Genomic DNA, 22,962 nt, shown 5'->3' on the forward strand with positions numbered 1-22,962 from the left:
AGTAGGTGCCTCTTATTATCATGCCCATGCAGACACTAGACAATGATCATCATTTTCTAATTTGTAGGAATGTGGTGAAGATTAAATGAGTCAGTACTCATGAAGTGCTTAGAACAGTCTCTGGCCCATAATAAGGTTCAGTAAGCGTTGGCCATTGTCATTGCTGTTGTTAAGAAATATTTCTTTAATCCCAAGGCTTTATAAAAGTTAGGAAAATCGACCTGATTCACTCACTTCAGTTACCTACCTAGCCCCTGTAAGCATAAGTGCGAGACCACTCTTTGTACCACTTGAAGCCAGAAATCTAGAATTTTGTGTGAAATCTTTTGGTTTTTAAATGTTGCTCCGTGTCTTTAAACAACTCTTGGCCGGGTGCAGCAGCTCATGCCTGTAATCCCAGCACTTTGGGAAGGCGAGGATGGAGGATGGCTTGAGCCCAGGAATTCAAGATCAGCCTGGGCAATATAGCAAGACCCCGTCTCTACAAAATTTTTAAAATTAGCCAGACATGGCGGCATGTGCCTGTAGTCCCAGCTACTCGAGAGGCTAAGGTGGGAGAATCACCAGAGCCCGGGAGGTTGAGACTATAATGAGCCATGATTGCACCACTGCACTCCAGCCTTGGCTGTTCAGTGCCACCAATACACACAAGTATGAAATATGAACACAGATTACAGCAATGACTTTTAAATATTTCGACCATGGCCCAAAGCAGGGGCCACAGGAATACCTTTTACATCACTACCATATAAAATATATATACAATTGAAGAAGTAAAAAGTTGCAAAACAACACATGCCCATATGTTGTGTGCAGTGAACAGACATTCTCTATTCCATTGTCTTTTTCTTTTTTAAAAACATGGTCTGTAACCCATTACATCAATTTCAAAATCCTCTAAGGAGCTGCTAACCGGGTGTGAAAAACACCTAAATATGGGATAGAATCCCTAAAATCAATATTTCCCCAAGAGTTTCTTATATTTCAGATGTACGAGTAATATCTACGCCTATCAATGCCTACCACCACCACTGGTAAACAAGATAACTCTAGAAGAAACTTGGATATATTTATATTTTTAAACTAGTTATATATTTTTACTAGTATTAGTTTTTAGTTATCTTCCATTTTAGGAAATTGATACTGATTTTCCACTTACGGGAATGATTTAAAGTTTTCTCCTAAAATAAATGTACTTAAATTTAAAAAGCAATTTAAGGAAAAACATTAATAAACAGCATAGGAAATATTCAGACATGTTGAAAATCACAAATACGTGTCTCATGTATCTGAAGTGTGGGAAACTATCTGGCACCATTCTATCATGATAGAACAAGAAATGGACGTTCCTTCACATTAGATCTGCTTTTGCGCAGCTCTACTAATTACTCCCAGAACGTTAGGTTACATGACATGATATTAGTTTACATTTGGCTTTTCCCCAGCAGCCGCTTAAACCTGGGAGGTCCTTTTTCCAAGCACTTGGGCAGTTTCGAGTTTGGCATCCTTTTGCACAGTGATTTGTGTGGATCTTGAGATGCTGTGAGCTTGCCATCCCTTCTTGAGATCATCACGTGGTCTGTCTTTCTCTGTCAGGCTTTCAAGTTAATTATTTCCTGTTTTTCTGAGTCTGTTCCTTATCCCCCTTCCCAGGCCACCCTCTACCCTCACCTTCACCTCCCCCCAGCAGTTCTACAGAAAATCAGTCTTTGTCTCTTGGCCTGCCCTAGAACACCTTCCAACAAGAGCCTTGGAGTTAATTAAATGTGTGGCAATTTCAGAGCAAAAATTTATTACTGGGTACAATCAGAAATTACTTTTAGAGTTCTTTGCTTTTTGGTAACATTCTCTGTCACTTACTGACCTTTTGTTCTCAGTCCCTGCCTGCTTAAGGTACTGTGTGAACCAATCTGCCCAAGCTGTTTTCTCTCTGTGTGACTGCTTAAGATCTCTGGCATGAGTTATACTGTCACTCCTCTCAGGAACTCCCACGTTGGGCTTGATTTTCCCAGCAAACTTGATCTGTTGTTCATGTAACATTGTTTCTGCTGCTGTCCCATTCCTTCTCATCAAGGCCAGAGCCCCCTCCTCCTGTTGTCTTTAACAAGGCAGGGTGCTAAACTGAGCTGAGCTGCACCCCCACAGAAGCTTTGTGCAAAGAAGCCACTCCATTTCTTCAATCTTTGCATCCTCATCCCATCCCCATGCCCAGAAATCTTCCCAAACTAGCCTTTTATGGTCATCCAGCCTTAATTTCTCTTTTCTTCCAAATCCCAGCTAAGTTTTGTCTTAAGTCTCTAACTGGGTTTGGTTACATTGTTCAATGTCCTTTCCCCCCAGTAACCCCCCTGCCATCCTAGTTTTCTCTCCCCTATTAGCTCCTCCTAAGCACGCATCTGAACTCCTTAAATCTTTTACCTAGTGTAGTTTCCTGGTCATCTCCTTTTAGCCCACTACAAATTGAAGTGTAAAAAACCCTTACAATAAACATGTGTGCGTGCACACGCATGCATGGTATATACGTACACATTTAAACTAGGAGAAAGGATATAAACACAAAATAGACTGTCCAGTACTATTTGGGGGTGGGAGGTGGAGAAGAGCCCTAGGCCCTAGAAGTTCCCCTGGGGTTCTTATTAATATGTTGAACATATTTCACCCTGCAACCCAAATCTGTACCACTTTCGTACACAGCTTAAACAAAGAAGAGTCTTGATGCTTATTGAGGATTTAGATAACTACTTCCCGTTAAGAAGATATTTTTAAAATTGTGTTTTCATTATGACTCCATCTCCATTTATTGATCGAGGGATTTCTTGCCTCACTTAACTCCATAATCTGTTACTCAGATTAAGAAAATGAGAAAACTATTGTTTGGTAGTTTGAGTACAGGCTTTAAAGTGATACTTTGGAGGCTGGATGATTCAAGTACTATAATCCAAGAAAAGCAACTAAATGATCATGCAGAACGTGTTTTTATGCATTACTCTTTATCGATTAGGCATGCAAGGAAATGAATCGGATTAAATGTTTCGTAGATGTGCTCTGTTATAGTACAGAAACTTCCTAGTGTAAAAACATCCAACAGAAAGCACTAAGAGATAGGAAATAATACATGTAAAATGCAAATGTGTAAGTCATTCAACACATTTTGAGTATCATGTTTTTTTATGTAAAAAACAATGTTACGTATAGTAAATTCTCCGCTATTAGGAGCAGAAAAGTACCCTCTATTTTGGCACTTCCCTTCTTCCGCCACCATTAGCTAGTATACAGCTGTACATATGTGCTTTTGGGGTGAATGTGAAACCTGTATATTCACTGTTTACCTTCGACCCTCTACTTTGCCAGCTTTTTGTCCACTTTATTCCTTATTAATTCTTCCTCCCGGGGACTAAAGGGGAAGGGAAAAGGAGGTGAACTTGGAGTCAGTCAGGCATGCTTAGTGACCAGAACAGTTCAATTTCGTTTTTTCTAAATTTTAATTAATTAATTTATTTTTGAGACAGGGTCTTGCTATGTTGCCCAGGCTAGTCTCCAACTCCCGGGCTCAAGCTATCCACCTGCCTTGGCCTCCCAAACTGCTGGGATTATAGATGTGAGCAACTGTATCAGGCCAATAGTTCAATTTCTATACAATAAACTTGAAAGACCCGTCCAAATTATTTTATATCATTTAAGATTTTTTTCCATCCAACTGATTAAATAACTCTGTCAATTAAAGCTTGGACATCTTGAAATTGATATTTTGGTTGTTAACAGTTATTGCAACAGTATTTGACCTGTCTCTGGAAGATTTTGTAAAGAAGTAAAATTCGCTGTAGGAATCTATCTGGGGAAGAAAGGGAACTATAATTTGCTCTGTACCTGTTACATGAGAGAATCTGAACTGTGCAGTGTACACTGTTTTATCCTTTTATGGTTTACAATTACCCAGAAAAGTGAGTAAAATGCCCGTTTTACAGATGTGGAGGCTGAGGTTCAGAGATACTGACCAGTCTCTCGGTTTATAAGGAAAACCATGGCTAACAGCCTCCAGAGCACAAGCCCTTTACAAAGGAGGGTTGGAGATTGCAGGCAGCTTTTACTTATCTATGCTGCCCACGCTTAACATGGAAAACTGAAAGCTGACCTTGTGTTCCTTTAAAAAATCTCCAAGGAAGTCGGCTGCAGAGACTTCATGGTAACTCATGAGAAACAAAATGCTTTTGTGGATTAACAACTGTCTTTATTCCAATGGAGTTTTTTGGGGGTTTTTTCTTCTTCTTAAAGACAAAAAAATAATCTACCGCTGACACTCAACAAGAACCGTCGTAGAATGGACAAGTCTTCGGATCGCGCTGTGCAGATCCCTCAGCAAATTGTGACAGTATTATGGCACTTTGGCCTAAGCTGTTAAAGAGACGATGTAATGAACAGCTGCGGATTTCTGAGGCACAATTGTGTGACACAGGAAGCCCAAGTGTTGGCCATCCTCAACGAAGGCAGCTGCCGGGCTCCGGTTTGCTTCAGCAAACCCTCACCCCTCGCCTTCAACCAGGCGGGTGTCGTCAGCTGTCCGCCAGCTGCTGCCCGCGCCTTTCCGCCCCCGCGCGCCGGCCAAGGCCGAGGCGGCCGGGACCAGAGGCGCGCGCCCTCAGTGCATGTGACGGGGTGGGAGGGGGAGGTTTCTTCCTCCCCCGTCCCCAAGCCCCGCCTTCTCCAGAGAGGCTGCGGCTTCCTATTGCGCCACCACCGAAATGACCACCGTGCCAGCCAATCAAGACGTGATTCATGAAGTAAGACCCGCCCCTTACTGGTCCCCAGGTTCCTTCCCGCTCACGCCGGAGTCACTTCCGAAGAGAGAACCGCCATGAAGAGAGAAGGGGGTGCCGCCCACCTCTGCTCCGACAGCCTCCCGGAGTCCCAGCAGCAAGACGGCAACCACGCACCCAACTTCTCCAGCCACGGCTCATGCCGCCGTCGCCAGCGGCGCCGACATGACAAGGCGCTGCATGCCCGCTAGGCCAGGTTTCCCCTCATCCCCAGCCCCGGGGTCGTCGCCCCCGCGCTGCCATCTGAGACCCGGTAGTACCGCCCATGCTGCAGCGGGAAAGAGAACAGAGAGTCCTGGGGACAGGTACCGTGCAGAGGGCTTGAGAAGGGGCCGGGTCGCGGGGGCAAGGGTATGAGGGGAGGGCTGCAGACCGCCGCTCTTCCAGTTCCCGCCATCCTCCGCGAGCTCAGGCGTTGGCATTTCGGGGCCTGGCAAATCCCCGCCCCGCCTCCGCGCAGGGGCTACTGGGAGTTGGAGTTTGCTTCTCTGTAGTTGGGCAGCTGCTCTTGGTCTAGTGACCACCAGCCTGGACAGCTACGGAGAACCCGCCTTAGGTAGAAAGAAAGTGATTTTTTTCCTTTGCAAGAGTTTGACCCGGGACCCTAACTGCTTAATGCATATTTAGATCGTTTTCTGTACGTTGTCAGTTCTACTGATCCTAGTGGTTTAGTAATATAAACCTTTTCTATGTTGTGGGTGAAATTATGTAACCTGTGATGAGGGAATCCCTTCCACGAATTACTTTGTAGTCCAGCGTGCACGCTAGTTCATACTTAAAAGAACTTGCAGATTTGGAATGTGACGTGTTTTCTCTTTCAGTAACTTCACGCCTCTCCAAGAGGCTAATTTTTTTGTAAAGATTTTGTGGGAGCTATGTAATGAGATGGGGAGTTTCATCTAATGACATCCTCTGACAATAAAACATGTTTAAATTCCCTACGAACTTGGTACTGTCTTTTATTTTAAGTTAAATTGTATTAAGTTTTAACAATATTCATGTTACTAATACTGTGGTACAGGCCCACAATCCCTTATCTTAACTCTGAAAGCCAGAAAGCTATGAAAACCAAAACGTTTTCAGTAAGTTTGGCACCACATCTTACTGGGCAGCCAGATCTGACTAAAACTAATGTAAGGCTGTTTGTGGTCTTTATCCCATTAAGTGTGAATATTCATGTTTTGCTGGAGAAATGTCAGTGGATTTGATTACAGGTTGCAGCACCAGACCCCACTGGGGACTTTCCATAATACATCCAAGTTATCCCCTTCCTAAAATCTGATAAATTCAGAATTCTAAAACACATTTGGCCCCAGAAGGTTCAGATAAGGGTTTGTGAAACTGTTATAATTGTGTGTGTGTGTGTGTTTTTTTTTAAGCCAGTTGTTAAATAAGCAGTGGACATTTTGTGTGCATATGAACTTAGAGAACCTACCTCTTGAAAGTTACATTCATGGTTATTTTACAGGTTTCTTGTATGTTTTACCCAAAATCATTTTTTCTCTTTCTGGTGTATTAATCAAAAAGGAGTCTGAGGTCCAATATTTTAGGGAAGAGATACAGTGTTACATTTAGTAAAATGCATTTAGAATTATCTTGTGTGCAACAAATGAGCTGCTTCTGGGTCCCTTCCCATCTCTCCTCAATCAATAACAAGATCAATAACAAGGTATCATCCTTCTTCCCTTTGCAGAACCTCCAACATTTACTCTGGTGGAGTTAATTTGCCTAGTATAATTTATGTAAACAAATGCATATATTCTTCCATAGCCCGTCACTCATATTCATCTCATAAGCACTTAGCTTTTATACCAGCATCTCAAACAAGCGTGATGGACTTGGTAAACCAGTAAAGATGTGCATTGCTCTTCTAATGTGACCAGTAAAGTGTACAAGAAGCTTAACCTTCAAGAAACTTGGATTGTTGGAATTTTCACTGAGCATTCCAACCTCATAGTGGATGAATGTTTAGGGAAATCAATAGTCTATAGCTTATTCTCTTTCAGTAAAATGATACATTTTAGCAAAATTTACCAGAAAGTTAATTTTTTGTTCAGCATATCATAACATCCCCTTTTTTGCAGCTGACAACTCTACAGTGAACAAATCAGAATACGAATTCTGGTAATGGATTCCTATTTCACTTTAGCATTATTGCCAATGTCAGAACTTGATTAGTTAAGCCAGATAATGAAATCCAGTCTTTACGGTACAGAAATTCTTAAAAATTAATTTGGTTTTTGTTATTCTTGTTAACTTTCTTCCTTTTCTCCTTGTGTTTTTCCCAAGCAATGTGTTATTTTTGTAACTATCTTAAGGATTCTTTGATAAAAAATTAAGAATTTGAAACTAGTTGTGACAACTCATTCTAATTTCTGCTGTTACTTAGATTAACATCTTAATGTATAAAGAGGGTAGCATAAGTTTGGTATTTTTCTTTTCTGCCCTTGTCCAGCAAACTCCTCTTCAACTGATTCCCTAGATCAGCCAAATCACCTGTATTGCCATTCTACCATCTACTGTTCTACTCTTGTTATGAGAGTCTGTTCAAGTTTTACTCCATTTTTATAATCCCCATTATTCATTTGGCATACATCTATTGAGTTTTTTTTTAGCTTGTTATTCTAAATTTTAAAACGCAGCTGTGCTTAGATACCAAGTAATTATTTTGTATCAATGTCTGCAGAGAACAAGTAGGTTCATATGCTGATACCCAAGATGTTGCATTCTACCATGTAGCCGTGAACATTTCAGTCTTAAGAAGCACTCTGTACTAATTCCTTGGGTCTACACACCAGTCTGACCTATTTAAGTACTATAAATAATATAAACCTCAGTTGTATTTTTATAAATGAACTCCTATAGGAAGTGATACGTTATATTTTCTGTTTTTTTAATGAACAGTTTAGCAAAGCATTGTTACCATTGTCAGAACTTTATTAAACCAAATAGTGAAATCCAGCCTTTATTTTATAAATCTTTCTCCATTTAATCTGAGTTATGAAGGTTTTAATATTTGCTTATATGATGCCATATTATGCTTTTATTTTCAGGAAGCAGTCAATTATAGATTTCTTCAAACCAGCTTCAAAACAAGGTATGTACACTGTTGATGCATTTTTTGTGGGCTATTTTGGGGGTGAGGAGAGAGACAGATTCAACTTTAAAACCTACTCTAAACTGTTTTAGTAAACGTAGTGTTCAAAATTGAAAATAAAATGAAGATGCAGTATTTTGTTTTACAAGGATAAACTGAAGTTCTAAATATGAAAGTCTTTTTGCTGTTATGTTTTCTTACATTTAAAATATTATTCTAGTAAAAAATTTAATGTTCATAATACATACTATTTTGATTCTCTAATACAGTAATTTATAGAGCCATAGGGAGGTTATATGATGTACCAAAAGAGAGCTTTATGAAACTAAGGCTTTTAACAAATAAATCATCTCTTAATTTCTCCTATACCCCCCAATAAAGTGTGTATCATTATCCAAGTTGTTGGTTTGAAAATTTTTGTGGTAACATTAGTATAGTTTAATTTATATTTTAAACATTAATAATTTAGATAAATATTAAATATTTTACTAACATGCAATTTGTATGTGTTTTAATTGGCTATTTAGACAGACACATGTTGGATTCACCACAAAAATCAAACATCAAATATGGAGGAAGTAGATTGTCTATCACTGGGACAGAGCAGTTTGAAAGGAAACTATCCTCACCAAAAGAATCTAAACCCAAAAGGGTGCCACCAGAAAAGAGCCCTATTATAGAAGCTTTCATGAAAGGTGTTAAAGAGCACCATGAAGATCATGGTATACATGAGTCACGTCGGCCTTGTCTGTCACTAGCCTCCAAATATTTAGCCAAAGGAACAAATATCTATGTTCCTTCTTCATATCACTTGCCAAAGGAGATGAAGTCACTAAAGAAAAAACATCGATCCCCAGAGAGAAGGAAGTCACTATTCATTCATGAAAATAATGAGAAGAATGATAGAGATCGAGGCAAAACCAATGCAGACTCCAAAAAGCAGACCACAGTGGCAGAAGCTGACATCTTCAATAACAGCTCCAGAAGCCTTAGCAGCAGGAGCAGCCTGTCCAGGCACCACCCGGAAGAAAGCCCACTGGGAGCTAAATTCCAGTTGTCACTAGCTTCTTACTGCAGAGAACGAGAACTAAAGAGGTTGAGAAAGGAGCAAATGGAGCAGAGAATCAACTCCGAGAATTCTTTCTCAGAAGCAAGCAGTCTTTCCTTAAAATCTAGTATAGAAAGAAAATATAAACCAAGGCAGGAACAAAGGAAACAGAATGACATCATACCTGGAAAAAATAATCTGTCAAATGTGGTATGTGTAAGAATTATTGAATTAGCATTGCTACTGCTATGTCATATTTAGAATACTAAATTTAAAAATATTTAAGAGTTGTTACATCACATTGACGTCTTTCCTGAAGGAAATACTTATGCACAGTTTGTGTAGAAGCTGGTTTCATTACATTTCCTCCAGTTGCCCTTCATCGAACTCAGTAAAGCAGTGTTTCTTATCCTTAGTTTTTTCAGACTGGGAACAAAGATCTTTTTTAGTCAGAAAAGTAAGCATTCTTTTTTTTTAAGGCAAGTATAGTCTTACTTATTTATGTGTAGACAGTCTTGCTCTGTTGCTCATGCTGGAGTGCTATGGCGTGATCATGTCTCATTGCAGTCTCAAACTCCTGGGCTCAAATGATGCTCTCACCTCAGCTTCCCAAGTAGTCGAGACTCCAGGTACCTGCCACCATATTTGACTAATTTTTGTATTTTTTTGTAGAGACAGGTCTCCCTATACTGCCCAGGCTGGCCTTGAACCCCTGGCCTCAAGCGATCCTCCTGCTTCCTGTACTTTGGGAGGCCTAGGTGGAAGGATTGCTTGAGCTCAGGAGTTTGAGACCAGCCAGAGCCACATATCGAGACCTTGGCTCTACTACAAATAAATAAATAAATAAATAACCAGTCATGGTGGCATGTGCCTGTTCTCCTAGCTACTTAGGAGGCTAAGGTGGGAGGCTCGCTTGAGCCCAGGAGATCAAGGTTGCAGTGAGTTTGATCACACCATTGCACTCCAGCCTGGGTGACAGAGCGAGACCTTGTCTCAAAAATACAGTGTTCTAATATAATATTCTTGAATTATTGATATAAACGTAAATCAGCATTTTGAAAACTGACTTCATTTTTATGATATTTTTACATGTTTATGATACAAATGCCCTTAATTTTTATGACAAAAACCTTAAGATCTTTAAATATTTTATTATAGACATTAGGATTTACCTCCAAATATGGGTGCTTGCCTTATTCAATCTAGAAATCTGTGTTTAAATGTTAGGAAGAATGCCTTCACATTCTTTACTGTCCCCAACACTTAATTAATTTTATCTCATTGTGCTCATAGGAAAATGGACATCTCTCAAGAAAAAGATCCTCTTCTGATTCATGGGAACCTACTTCAGGTAGAATCAAAATTAAATTTATGGATTTCTAAATAAATTTCCATTTTAATGGCACTGCTTTTTAAAATAAATTTGTTTAAATATGCAGTTCCCTTCTTGGGGATGAATTAAGTGTCTCATATTAATTAAGAGTTTGGTAAGATCATATTAAAAAAGACTAGTCCCTGAATCTAGTACTTATAATTTGGGTTTGTTTTTGAGACAGGGTCTTACTCTGTCACCCAGGCTGGGATGCAGTGGCATGATCACGACTCAACTGCAAGCCTTGACCTCCTGGCCTCGAATGATTCTCCCACCTCAGCTTCCTGAGTAGCTGGGACTACAGATGTGGGCAACTATGCCTGGTTAATTTCTTGTATTTTTGTAGAGACGAGGTTTCGCCACGTTGCCCAGGCTGGTCTCAAACTCCTGAGCTCATGAGCCACCACACCTGACCTAGTGCATATAATTTGTAATCTGTCTTGAATCTCTGCCCTCTTCAGGAGTTCCTAACAGTATGTTTCTCATACTGGTATTCAGTGTTTCCTTCTGAATCCTTGGCTACATCAGGAAACATAATCTTTTTTTTTTTTTTTTTTTTTTTTTTTTTGAGACAGAGTCTCGCTCTGTCGCCCAGGCTGGAGTGCAGTGGTGTAATTTGGCTCATTGCAAGCTCCGCCTCCCGGGTTCACACCATTCTCCTGCCTCAGCCTCCCAAATATCTGGGACTACAGGCGCCCACCACCATGCCCGACTAATTTTTTGTATTTTTAGTGGAGACGGGGTTTCACCACGTTAGCCAGGATGGTCTCGATCTCCTGACCTCGTGATCTGCCCACCTCGGCCTCCCAAAGTGCTGGGATTACAGGCATGAGCCACTGCACCGGGCCCCCAGGAAACATAATCTTATTATCTTGGAATTGTAGACTGAGTTGTTGGTATTATGTTGAAGATGCTTTGTATAGGGTTGAGACTGTTACCATGATAAAAAGCAGTGTTCTCTAATATTTCAAATCCAAGGATCCCTTTTTAATATTAAATTTCAAGGATATCTACATGACATTAGTTTGTACTTTTAGCATTTATTGATTGAAAAAAATATAAAATAACAAATCTGTTAATTCAGTACATTTTATCTTTTTTTAAAACTAGAAAATAGAAGATTAAAAAGGCAAACACTGCAGAAGTTTGCAACAAGAAATGAAAGGTCTCCACAACTAACAACAGTTAATAGTCTAGTGTATCCGATTTTTTTCCTGATGTGACTATACATTTTGAAAAACAAATTCCCACATTCAGTAAGATACATTGGACACGATAATAATAGCTGGCTTTCATTGAGTACTTACTGTGTGCTATGCCATTTTATGTGCTTCTAATTCGTTTGAACCTCATAACTTTATATGATAGTGGTTTACTTTTAGAGATGGAAAAGCCAAAGTACAGAGAGTCAGTTCTAATTCCTCCTTCAGGTTTCATCTACTTCATTTTATTTATATTTTAGAGGTGCATTGCATTTTGACCAAGAACTCTCAACTGGTAAAATCAATCTTCAGCCAAGGCTGAAACCATATTTTACCATTATAGAAGGAACTTCTAGGATACAGGAATAAATCTAAAGTTTTGTGTGTTTTTTGTTTATTTAATTTTTATAATGTTGCTGATTTTATGACCAAATTTTAGTGAATTTTGACATTATTGTAGAAGAACAGGAATTTCTCAGCCAGGAGATTGCTTCTGCACTCACTGTATTGCACATTTTTAATACTAAATACATGATCACCTTGCACCAAAGTTAATGGAAGAACAAAATATTATTTTATATAAGGGGCTGCTGCTGGTGGTGTGGCTACCACATTATTCCTTTTCTTTTTTCTCTGACTTAAGATTTGAAAAAATCTTTTCATTTCCTGGATTTGCAAATTTCATTCATGGTGGCTAAAGTAGTTTCATTTATATAATCCCACCTAGCAAAGTTTTTGAGTACTGCTTGGAAAAGATGCTTTCTACATATTTTCAGAGGCTGACTTATGATGGTTGCCGTCACTTATATTTTTATTACCAATATTTTTGCATGTGTTTCATAATCACTAATAATTATAGCATTATACTCTTAATAAATATACATTTATACTTCAATTGACTAACATCAACAGAATTTCAACATGTAAAGGACAAGGGGATATTTCAATCTAGATAGCATGAAGAATGCTTATTGTGTCTGATAGCAAAATTATTAAAAATCTAAGCCAGGCGCAGTGGTTCATGCCTGTAATCCCAGCACTTTGGGAGGCCAAGGCAGATGGATCACCTGAGGTCAGGAGTTCGAGACCAGCCTGGCCAACATGGTGAGACCTCGTCTCTACTAAAATTACAAAAATTAGCTGGGCATGGTGCCCAAGCCTGTAATCCCAGCTACTCAGGAGGCCAAGGCAGGAAAATTGCTTGAACCTGGAAGGTGGAGGTTGCAGTGAGCTGAGATGGTGCCACTGCACTCCAGCCTGGGTGTCAGAGCAGGACTCAATCTCGAAAAAAATAAATAAATAAAAATAAAAATCCAAATGATATGTCTTGTTCATCTTGTTAATACACTTAATCAATTGTCATGGTAATGTACATAATCACGCAATCATTAATCACATACAAGTTCAGGGATTTCAGAAGTAATGTTAGACTAGGCATTTAGCCCTTTGGTCTTCTAGAGCCCTGTCTTTTGGCTGAATTGTGAGGGGAAATTTAATCCATTGCTAGTACATTTCGTAACTGATTAATAACCAATCACCTATTAATGGCCTTTGGATTTTTCCTTTTTCTTGAGATGGAGTCTCACTGTCTCCTAGGCTGGAGTGCAGTGGTGAGATTGTAGCTCACTTGCAGCACTGAACTCCTGGGCTGAAGCAATCCTCCTGCCTCAGCCTCCCAAAGTGCTGGGATTACGGGCGTGAGCCACCATGCCCAGCCTCCTTTTTTTCTTTTTACAAACTCAATCTCTCTCTTATATGAATATTTTATGTATTAGTATATTTGAAATATTTGAAAAACTGTAAAACAAATATTCTCTACAGGCTGACAAAGGATACAAAAAGAATTATGAACATTTTGCAATTAATCACCTGACCTGAAGAGCTTGCTAAAGGGGATCCTACCTGCAGTACCAATTCACTTTTCTCTAATTCTAGATGATGAAACCCCTTAATAAGCTGACTTATCCTAAACATCTTCCACAAACAGTGTTTGTCTCCTCCTGGATCAACCCTGAATAATGCCTGAGCAAAGCAGGAATTTCTCCTCATTTCTAGCTATATTTAAATTATCTGACTTCTCTAGAAAAATGGAACAAAACTCAAACTGGCAGCTCTGTAGCTCATTTTTTGTAATCCCATACTTAAAAGTAAGATAATGAGCCAAATCTTCTCTTTTGTTTAGTCATTTAATTTCTCATCCTGTTACCCCTGTCCTTTTTGTAAGACATTTAACCCCAGAAAACTGAATAGGATGGAATGATTTCCTCAGGTAATGGGAGATATCTGTAAAAGAGCAGAGATAAGGGCATTTGTTAATTAGTTAATTTAATTTTTATAAATTGAATTTTTCAGATTATATATTGATCAAGCTATCCAAATAATAATTGCCTCTCAAGTTTGGTTTTGGCGGGTTTATTTTATTTTATTTACTCATTTTGATTCAAGGTCTTACTCTGGTGCCCAGGCTGGAGTGCAATGGCACAATTACAGCTCACTGTAGCCTCACGGGGCTCAAGCAGTCCTCCCACCTGAGCCTCCAAGTAGGTGGGACTACAGGCACATGCCACTGCACCCGGCTAATTTTTGTATTTTTTGTAGAGACTATTTCACCATGTTGCCTAGGCTGGTCTCAAACTCCTGAGCCCAAGTGATCCTCCCAAAGTGCTGGGATTACAGGCATGAGCCACTAGACATGGCCAAAAGATAAGAAATTTTCTAACTAGAGAAGGGATTGACGGGGTTGTACTTTTCGCAGAGGCAGGGTTTCACCTGAGCTCACGAACTCCCACCTTGGCCTCCCAAAGTTGTGGTATTACAGGCATGAGCCACTGTGCCCAGCCATTTTAGGTTTTTAAAGCAACTCTTGGGGAATGGAGACATCTGTCCATGTGCAGAAAATTTGATTTAGGGAAATCTGGTTTGGGGAATACTGATTGCACAAATAGTGAATTTTTTGTGTTTTTTTTTGTTGTTGTTTTGTTTTTTTGAGTTGAAGTCTTGCTTTGGTACCTAGGCTGGTCTTGAACTCCTGGGCTCAAGTTATCTTCCCACCTCAGCCTCCTGAGTAGCTGGGACTATATAGGCACACACCACTGCACCAGGTTAAAGTGAATTTTTTTTTTTTTTTTTGAAACGGAGTCTTGCTCTGTTGCCCAGACTGGCGTGCAGTGGTGCCGTCTTGGCTCAGTGCAACCACCACCTCCCAGGTTCAAGCGATTCTCCTGTCTTGGCCTCCCAAGTAGCTGGGAGTACAGGCACGCACCACCATGCCTGGCTAATTTTTGTATTTTCAGTAGAGACAGGGTTTCACCATGTTGGCCAGGCTGGTCTCAAACTCCTGACCTCAAGTGATCTGCCCACTCCGGCCTCCCAAAATGCTGGGATTACAGGTGTGACCCACCGCACTCAGCCCACAATATGAATTTTTAAAAACTGGTTCATTCAAATGTATGTGGTTATTAAAGTACTTCTGGATGGGGCTATAATAAATATAGCTTATATTAGTTTCCTAGGGCTGCCATAACAAAGTGCCAAAACCAGGGTGGCTTAAAACAACAGGAATTATTGTTTCACAGTTCTGGAAGCTAGAAGTTTGAAATCAGGATATCAATAGGGCCGTAATGTCTCTGGCAACTCTAGGGGAGAATACTTCCTTACCTCGTCTAGCTTCTGGTGTTTGCCTGCAATCTTTGGCATTTCTTGACTTACAGCTGCATCACTCCAGTCACATAGCATCTTTTCCTTGTGTATTTTCACCTTGTATTCCCTCTGTGCATGTCTGTCTTTGTCTCCAAAGACAAAGACACCTTTTGTAAGTACACCAGTCATACTGCATTGGGACACAGCGTGATTTTTTTTTTTTTAATGAGAAATTAACATTTATCTGCCTTCAAGTGTTTATCCTATACGTGTTTTAAGGTACTATACATTTAAATGTAGAAGTGTTACATTTCTGCAACCAGGTAGTCCTAGGTCTAAAAGAATTTCCAGAAGTACCTATGGCATCCTTAACTTGGTACAAATATGCAGTTGTTTGTTTTAGGGAGTGGCATCTTTAATTCTGTTAAGGTGGTAAACTTTTCATAGCTTTGGAATGAAAATGAGCATTTGTCATTAGCTTTAAATTTCTTGGACACCAGTATTTATCCAGTTGATAAGTAACTCTTTTTCTGCATTCCATATATGGTGACTAATCTCAGCCTTAATACTTAGAATTTTAAACCTTTCATTAGGGTGTTCTAGACACTGAATAAACTTTACTAAAGTTGGAAAGTATATTTTTCACTAATCTAACAAAAATTAAATTTTAGCAGGCTCTAAGCAGAATAAATTCCCTGAAAAAAGAAAAAGGAACTCTGTGGACTCAGATCTGAAAAGCACAAGAGAATCTATGATACCAAAAGCAAGAGAGTCCTTCCTTGAGAAGCGTCCTGATGGACCACATCAGAAAGAAAAATTTATAAAACATATTGCACTGAAGACACCTGGTGATGTGTTGCGCTTAGAAGATATATCCAAGGAACCGAGTGATGAAACTGATGGCTCTTCTGCAGGCTTGGCACCTTCAAATTCTGGCAATTCTGGCCACCATTCTACCAGGAATAGTGACCAAATCCAAGTGGCAGGTACCAAGGAGACTAAGATGCAGAAACCCCACTTACCTTTATCTCAGGAAAAGTCTGCAATTAAAAAAGCTAGCAACCTTCAGAAAAATAAAACCGCTAGCTCCACGACAAAGGAGAAGGAGACAAAACTACCTTTACTTTCCCGTGTTCCAAGTGCTGGTTCCTCTCTAGTACCATTAAATGCTAAAAATTGTGCTCTTCCAGTTTCTAAAAAAGATAAAGAGCGTTCCTCATCTAAAGAATGTTCTGGGCATTCTACAGAATCCACCAAACACAAGGAACACAAAGCAAAGACTAATAAGGCCGATTCTAATGTATCTTCAGGGAAAATTTCTGGGGGACCTTTGCGCTCAGAATATGGCACTCCTACAAAGTCTCCCCCTGCTGCTTTGGAAGTTGTGCCATGTATCCCAAGCCCTGCAGCACCTTCAGATAAAGCCCCTTCAGAAGGAGAGAGTTCAGGAAATTCCAATGCAGGTAGCAGTGCACTGAAAAGAAAACTAAGGGGTGATTTTGATAGTGATGAAGAAAGTTTAGGTTACAACCTAGACAGTGATGAGGAAGAGGAAACATTAAAGTCACTGGAAGAAATAATGGCTTTGAACTTCAATCAGACTCCTGCAGCTACAGGAAAGCCTCCTGCTCTTTCCAAGGGGCTTAGATCTCAGTCATCAGACTATACAGTAAGTAGTTCTGTGACGTTTATCTTTACTTGAAGAGGGAAAGATGATTAATTAGTGAAAGGGGTGGATTATCGGAACTTACTTTAAAATTTAGTATTTATTATAACTCATATTTGTACTGAAAATGGAATAATTCTTGTTTGGTAAATGAGTTTCCATATCTTTAGTTTTATTACTGTAAGTCAGTGGTCTCCAAACTCTTTTGATCACACACACTTAACAATTTTTGAGCATGTACCCCAACATATATGTATACCTTTAGATTATATATATGTACCACTGTAATACTGTGTACTTTCTAAAGCATATGCAAAAACAGAATTTAAAAGGAAGAAGAAGAGAAAAATAAGTATTTTCCTGTAGAAGTGACGTAGAAGTTACTATAGACTAAGTTCTACTGGAGTCTCTATAGAAGTTCCATATAAATAGAAGTTCTATTATTTTCTTCCTGCACCCCAATGGATCACCTTGCACACCCCCTGCTTTGGAGACCACATCTGTAAATGAAGGTAGAGTGTAGAAATGTTGTTGATTGTGGTGTGCAATTTTATTTATAAAGTGCTTCATTCTATCTTGGGAATAAGCTGAATTAAATTCTAAGATGTCTGTAAAATTTGGTGGGGAAGGTGTTAATATTCCATGGTAACACCTAAAAATTAGTAGTTTGATTCTACTAAAATAGAATTTAAAAGTAAAGACAGGGTAGCCACAGAGTCCTTGAGTGTTTGCAGTCACATCTCAAAGTTAGCAGGGTTTTATAAGTACTGCCTTTCCTAATAGGTAGTAAAATCAAATTGTCTGCAGTGCAAAATACTAGATTTAAAGCATGATGGTGAAAATTATCCTTTAAGAAAGGTGTTATCCTGGCCCAGATTATTGAAATAGAAAATAGTCTTTCGTACCCTTAATTACTTAAAACATCCCAGTTCTTCTACTAAGACATGTGGTAAAGTATTTCTAAATGTTCTTGTTTTAGGGACATGTTCATCCTGGAACTTACACAAATACCTTAGAACGTCTAGTGAAGGAAATGGAAGACACACAAAGGTTTGTTAGCATAAAGATTAATTTGCTAAATTTAACATTTTGCTTGTTTGTGTGGCTTACTTTTAATTTACCTTTTTTAAAAAATCATGAGAAATTAGCGTGCATTTTGGACTCTGTTGTCAACTGTGTTAGAATAAGATATGTTGGCCGGACGCAGTGGCTCATGCCTGTAATCACAACACTTTGGGAGACCCAGGCAAGATTACTTGAGCCCAGGAGTTCAAGGCTGCGGTGAGTCGTGATGGCGCCACTTCACTGCAGCCTGGGTGGCAGAGTGAGACCCAGTCTCAAATGAAAAAAAGAGGCCAGGTGTGATGGCTCATGCCTGTAATCCAGTACTTTAGGAGGCCAAAGCAGGCAAATCTCTTGAGCCCAGGAGTTTGAGACTAGCCTGGGCAACATGGTGAAACCCCATCTCTACAAAAAATACAAAAATTAGCCAGTCATGGTGCCACATACCTATGGTCCCAGCTACTCAACAGGCTGAGGTTGGGAGGATCACCTGAGCCCAAGGAGGTCAAGGCTGTAGTGAGCTGTGATTGAGCCACTGCACTCCAATCTGGGTGACAGAATAAGACCCCGTCTCAAAAAAAAAAAAAGTGGGGGGCCAGGCGCAGTGGCTCACGCCTGTAATCCCAGCACTTTGGGAGGCCGAGGCAGGTGGATCATGAGGTCAGGAGATCGAGACCATGCTGGCTAACATGGTGAAACCCCATCTCTACTAAAAAATAAAAAAAAAAATTAGCTGGGTGTCGTGGCGGGCGCTTGTAGTCCCAGCTCCTGGGGAGGCTGAGGCAGGAGAATGGCGTGAACCCGGAAGTCGGAGGTGGCAGTGAGCCGAGATTGCGCCACTGCACTCTAGCCTGGGCAACAGAGCAAGACTCCATCTCAAAAAAAAAAAAAAGGGAATAAGATGGGTTCTCTTGTTCATAGACTGGATCAAAAGATCCAGGTTTTTATAGTATACTGCACTAACTAATAATATAAATTCCTTTCTGTTTATTACAACTAGTATCTGATAGCTGAAATTCTAGATCGAAAGCATGGGTAGAATTTTTTGTGTTTTTTTAATGGAAAATACATATAAAATTTACCATTTTAACCATTTTTACATGTACAGTTCAGTGGCATTAAGTAAATTTATATGTTGTGCAACCATTATCACCATCTAGCTACAGAACTTTTTCATCTTTCCAAACTGAAACTCCATACCCTTTAAACAATAACTCCCCATTTTCCTCTTCCTCCCACCCTCAGCAACTACCCTTCTACTTTGTCTCTATGAAATTGACTGTGTTTTAGTTATCTCATGTAAGTGGTATTATATTTGTCCTTTTACGACTGTTTATTTCATTCAGGGCAGTGTCTTCAGAGTTCATTCATATAGTAGCATGTGTCAGAATTTCCGTTCTTTATAAAGCTGATTATTCCATTGTATTATGTATATAACACATTTTCTTTAGTCATCTGTCAGTGGACCTTTGGATTGCTTCCACTTTTTGGCTACTGTGAATAATGCTGCTATGAACATGGGTATACAAATATCTCTTCAAGTCTCTCCTTTAGATTCTGTTGGGCATATACACGTAAGTGGACTTACTGGATTATATGGTAATTCCGTTTAATTTTTTGAGGAACCGCCACACTGTTTTCCACAATGGCTGCACCATTGCACATTTGCACCAACAATTAATAAGGGTTCCAGTTTCTCCACATCTTTGCCAACACATTATTTTATCTTTGTTTTTTGTTTGTTTTGATAATAGCCATCCTAACAGTAAAGTGGTATCTCCTTATTGTTTGGTTTGCCTTCCCTAATGACTAATGATGTTAACATATTTTCATGTGCTTATTGGCCATTTGTTATACAAATGGAGAAATGTCTTTTCAGATTCTTTGCCTGTTTTTAATTGGCTTGTTTGGTGGGTGGGGCGGTTCACACAGGTAGAATTTTCTGAAATATTTCTATCAAGTTACTCTTTTGAGGAAAAAGTTTAGAATTATGATGAACACCCCCCCCCCCCCCCACACACACACACACACACACACGAGAGAGAGACAGAGAGAGAGAGAGAGAGAGAGAGAAAAGTTGAGGATCATAATGATCTTAATGAAATTTATGTGACTAATTATGGACAGGTTTTGCTAATAAGAGGGGAAAAATATATTCCTTGTTAATTCAAGGAGTGTCCTTGAACCTAGCCTGGAGAACTTCACTAACAGCTCAGCTGACTTGATTACATGGAAGTTGGTATGTGCTACATATCTCAAACTTGATAACCAAGTAGCTAACTTTAGGAATTTTTCAGATGATTAGTAGTTCAAAAGCTTCCCCCTTTCTGAATTTAATTAGAGAACTTGTCTGTATTTAAAATTCTTTAAATATTTCATGAATTCTTGTGATCTGTGATATGAAATCTGAAGTTCCTCCTTTAAAATTGAGCACTTCACAAATGAAAGACAGTAGTACTAGTTTAATTGAATGATTGACCCTTTTCTATAATGATAGAACAGTACATTTACTAGTTATTTACTCCTCAGCTGTACTTATCCACTGTTTGTGGCTGGGGTAAGGACCTTGTTTAAAATAACTTAATCTTGGAGAGGCAGTATAAGCAAGGACTCTAGAGCTAGACTCTCTCGCTATGAATCCCACATCCTTGCATTACAAGCTCTTGCAAGTTACTTTGCTTTTCTAATGTTGGTTTTCTTATCTATAAAATGCGTTATAAACTACTACATGGAGTTGTTGTAAGGGTTAAAAGAGTTAATATATAAAGCCCTTAGTGCAGTGCCTGTCACATATTAAGTGCTCGGTAAATGTTAGGTGTTGTGATGATGATGACAGTGACAACTACTGCTGCTAGAAAGCCTAGTTAACTTATCAGGTTGTTGGGCATCTAGAACCCAGTGAACTTTAAAGAGTAGAGAGGATAATCAAATTAGTGATGTTTATTCTTTGCCATTTTTCCTTTCCCATTCTGTGAGTGGTTTGGACAGATCATTCTTGAAGTTCTAGCTTTATGGAAATCCTCAAGTCTTTTATGCAGTGGAACACTATTCTAATGCCACACTGGTAACTGGGTAAAAGCCTAGCACCTGAAATATATCTGTTTTCATGAAAATTGTACGTCGTGATGTATTTGGGAGACATAATTTGACCGATAGTATAACAAAATTTGTTATATACCAGGGTACTTAATAAGGGTTTTCTTTGTGCTGCTTTTAGATATAAACTAAAGACTTTTTAAAAATATTTTTAGAGTAAACTGTTATAACATTCTTTCCAATTCTCAGGCTAGATGAACTGCAGAAGCAACTACAAGAAGACATAAGGCAAGGCCGAGGCATTAAATCCCCAATCAGAATTGGAGAAGAAGACAGTACAGATGATGAGGATGGCCTCTTAGAAGAGCACAAGTATAGCATTTTTCATAATGTATTTTACCTTATTAAAGTTTTTACATTTTTTAGTTTTGTTTTTGTAAAATAAATGGGCCATTGATGGCTGTTAGTGAATAATTTATGATAGGTTTCTGTCTGTAATGGGTTTGAAAGGCAAATGTTAGGGCCAGGTTTCATCTTTTATCTTTTCTCCTGGTTATTGTTTCTTTTCACATAGACACATTTAGTGGCTTTTGACTAACAACTACAAAAAGTGGAAGAAGCAAAGCATACTTTTCTCATGCTAGTCTTCTAATTTGGGATTAACATTGGCTTAAAAAATGGTTTTCTTTGCACCCAGCTTTTAAATACAAAACTATATGTAGTGTAACAATTTGGTATTGATTGACTTTTTTTATGTTTCAGGGAATTTCTAAAGAAATTTTCAGTTACAATTGATGCTATTCCTGATCATCATCCAGGTGAAGAAATATTTAATTTCCTCAATTCTGGAAAAATTTTCAATCAGTATACCTTGGATTTAAGAGACTCTGGTTTTATTGGACAAAGTGCTGTAGAAAAACTTATTCTTAAGTAAGTAGAAAAATAGACATTTTACTTTTATATGTATAAAAAATTACTCTAAAACACTTCTGACTCACGTAATCTTCTAAAAGGTTAATTTCTATTATGACCTATTAAGTTTCCTAATCCTCTTATTACTATTGATCTTTATGTTTTCTTCTTTAATTATAGGAAGCAGTGTAGGATAGTTGTTTGACACATCTCATGCCTTTATTAATTATGATTAAGATCAGTGTATAATAACAGTGATTGTCAAAATAATAGTGGTTTAAACAAGAAGTATATTTGAAAGAAGTATAAAAGCAGGAAGTCCAGGGCTGGAGTGCCAGTTTTACCATATAATCTTTCTTCTCCACCATTCTTAGCACCTAGCTTCGGGTGCTGTTCTAGCTCCAGCCTTTAGTTCAAATTCCCAGAAATTCCACACAGCATTCCCACACACTAAGTTAGTTGAATAGAAAACTTAGTCAATATGACCACACTTGGCCACAAGGGAAGCCAGAGAGTGATGTTTATTTCAGGCAGCCAGTGTTTGCAGCTACAGATCAGGGTTCAGTTACCAAGAAGAAAGGCAAAAATAGATGCTGGGATGTGCAACTAGTAATCTCCACCACAGTGCCCAAACTGATCTAATTTCTCTCAGTGCATGATATCTCAGCTCTAGAGAGATCACATCAGTTCTGCTGCCAATTTTTTAAAGTACTTCCCCAGTCTGAGACTTGATAGGCTCTTTCTCAACACTACCAGCAAATGTAGCTTTGTCTGCCAGTTAAATGTGGAGCCTAGCCAACAGATTGGATCAGCTTTAGGCCATCAATTAAATTTATTTTATGAGTAACTCATCCATATTGGTATAGAGTCCACCTCTATGGACTGAAGACAGTTTGCTTGCTCATTTCTCTGATTATGTCAGATGTGTTGGTGGTGATAGTAGAAGTATTTTGCCATGAAGTTAATAGCCATGTTGATTTTACTTTATTTTTTCAGATCGGGAAAAACAGATCAGATTTTTTTGACAACACAAGGTTTCCTTACGTCTGCTTATCACTATGTCCAGTGTCCTGTCCCTGTGTTAAAGTGGCTGTTTCGGGTAAGAGGAATGTTT

At 39.0% G+C, this 22,962-nt stretch overlaps 1 protein-coding gene across 8 annotated transcripts in view, besides 3 other annotated features; it reads left to right on the plus strand.

Moving 5' to 3' along the window:
* Nucleotides 4,352–4,621: a silencer, noted in NCBI's record as "silent region_2710". NCBI's record gives its function as "represses an Ori minimal core promoter by ATAC-STARR-seq in GM12878 lymphoblastoid cells {active_cell/tissue: GM12878}" and the evidence as "EXISTENCE:reporter gene assay evidence [ECO:0000049][PMID:35858748]".
* Nucleotides 4,832–22,962, plus strand: part of SLF2 (SMC5/6 complex localization factor 2) — a 52,172-nt gene continuing 34,041 nt past the window's right edge. For 3 of the 8 annotated variants that reach the window (NM_018121.4, NM_001136123.2, XM_047425463.1), the window contains exons 1-9: nt 4,832–5,119; nt 7,868–7,911; nt 8,439–9,169; nt 10,253–10,310; nt 15,844–16,841; nt 17,818–17,888; nt 21,186–21,308; nt 21,699–21,866; nt 22,845–22,947. In NM_018121.4, the coding sequence (NP_060591.3) occupies nt 4,980–5,119; nt 7,868–7,911; nt 8,439–9,169; nt 10,253–10,310; nt 15,844–16,841; nt 17,818–17,888; nt 21,186–21,308; nt 21,699–21,866; nt 22,845–22,947 (2,436 nt within the window). In that variant the 5' untranslated portion in view covers nt 4,832–4,979. Of the gene's footprint in view, nt 6,939–7,867; nt 7,912–8,438; nt 9,170–10,252; nt 10,311–15,843; nt 16,842–17,817; nt 17,889–21,185; nt 21,309–21,698; nt 21,867–22,844; nt 22,948–22,962 lie in introns of those variants that run through there. The other 5 variants (XM_047425461.1, XM_047425462.1, XM_011539944.4 and 2 more) reach the window with 5 other exon arrangements.
* Nucleotides 4,842–4,911: an enhancer, noted in NCBI's record as "active region_3900". NCBI's record gives its function as "activates an Ori minimal core promoter by ATAC-STARR-seq in GM12878 lymphoblastoid cells {active_cell/tissue: GM12878}" and the evidence as "EXISTENCE:reporter gene assay evidence [ECO:0000049][PMID:35858748]".
* Nucleotides 4,932–4,981: an enhancer, noted in NCBI's record as "active region_3901". NCBI's record gives its function as "activates an Ori minimal core promoter by ATAC-STARR-seq in GM12878 lymphoblastoid cells {active_cell/tissue: GM12878}" and the evidence as "EXISTENCE:reporter gene assay evidence [ECO:0000049][PMID:35858748]".

Source organism: Homo sapiens, chromosome 10 (assembly GCF_000001405.40).
Source record: "Homo sapiens chromosome 10, GRCh38.p14 Primary Assembly".
In the NCBI taxonomy this organism is placed as follows: domain Eukaryota; kingdom Metazoa; phylum Chordata; class Mammalia; order Primates; family Hominidae; genus Homo; species Homo sapiens.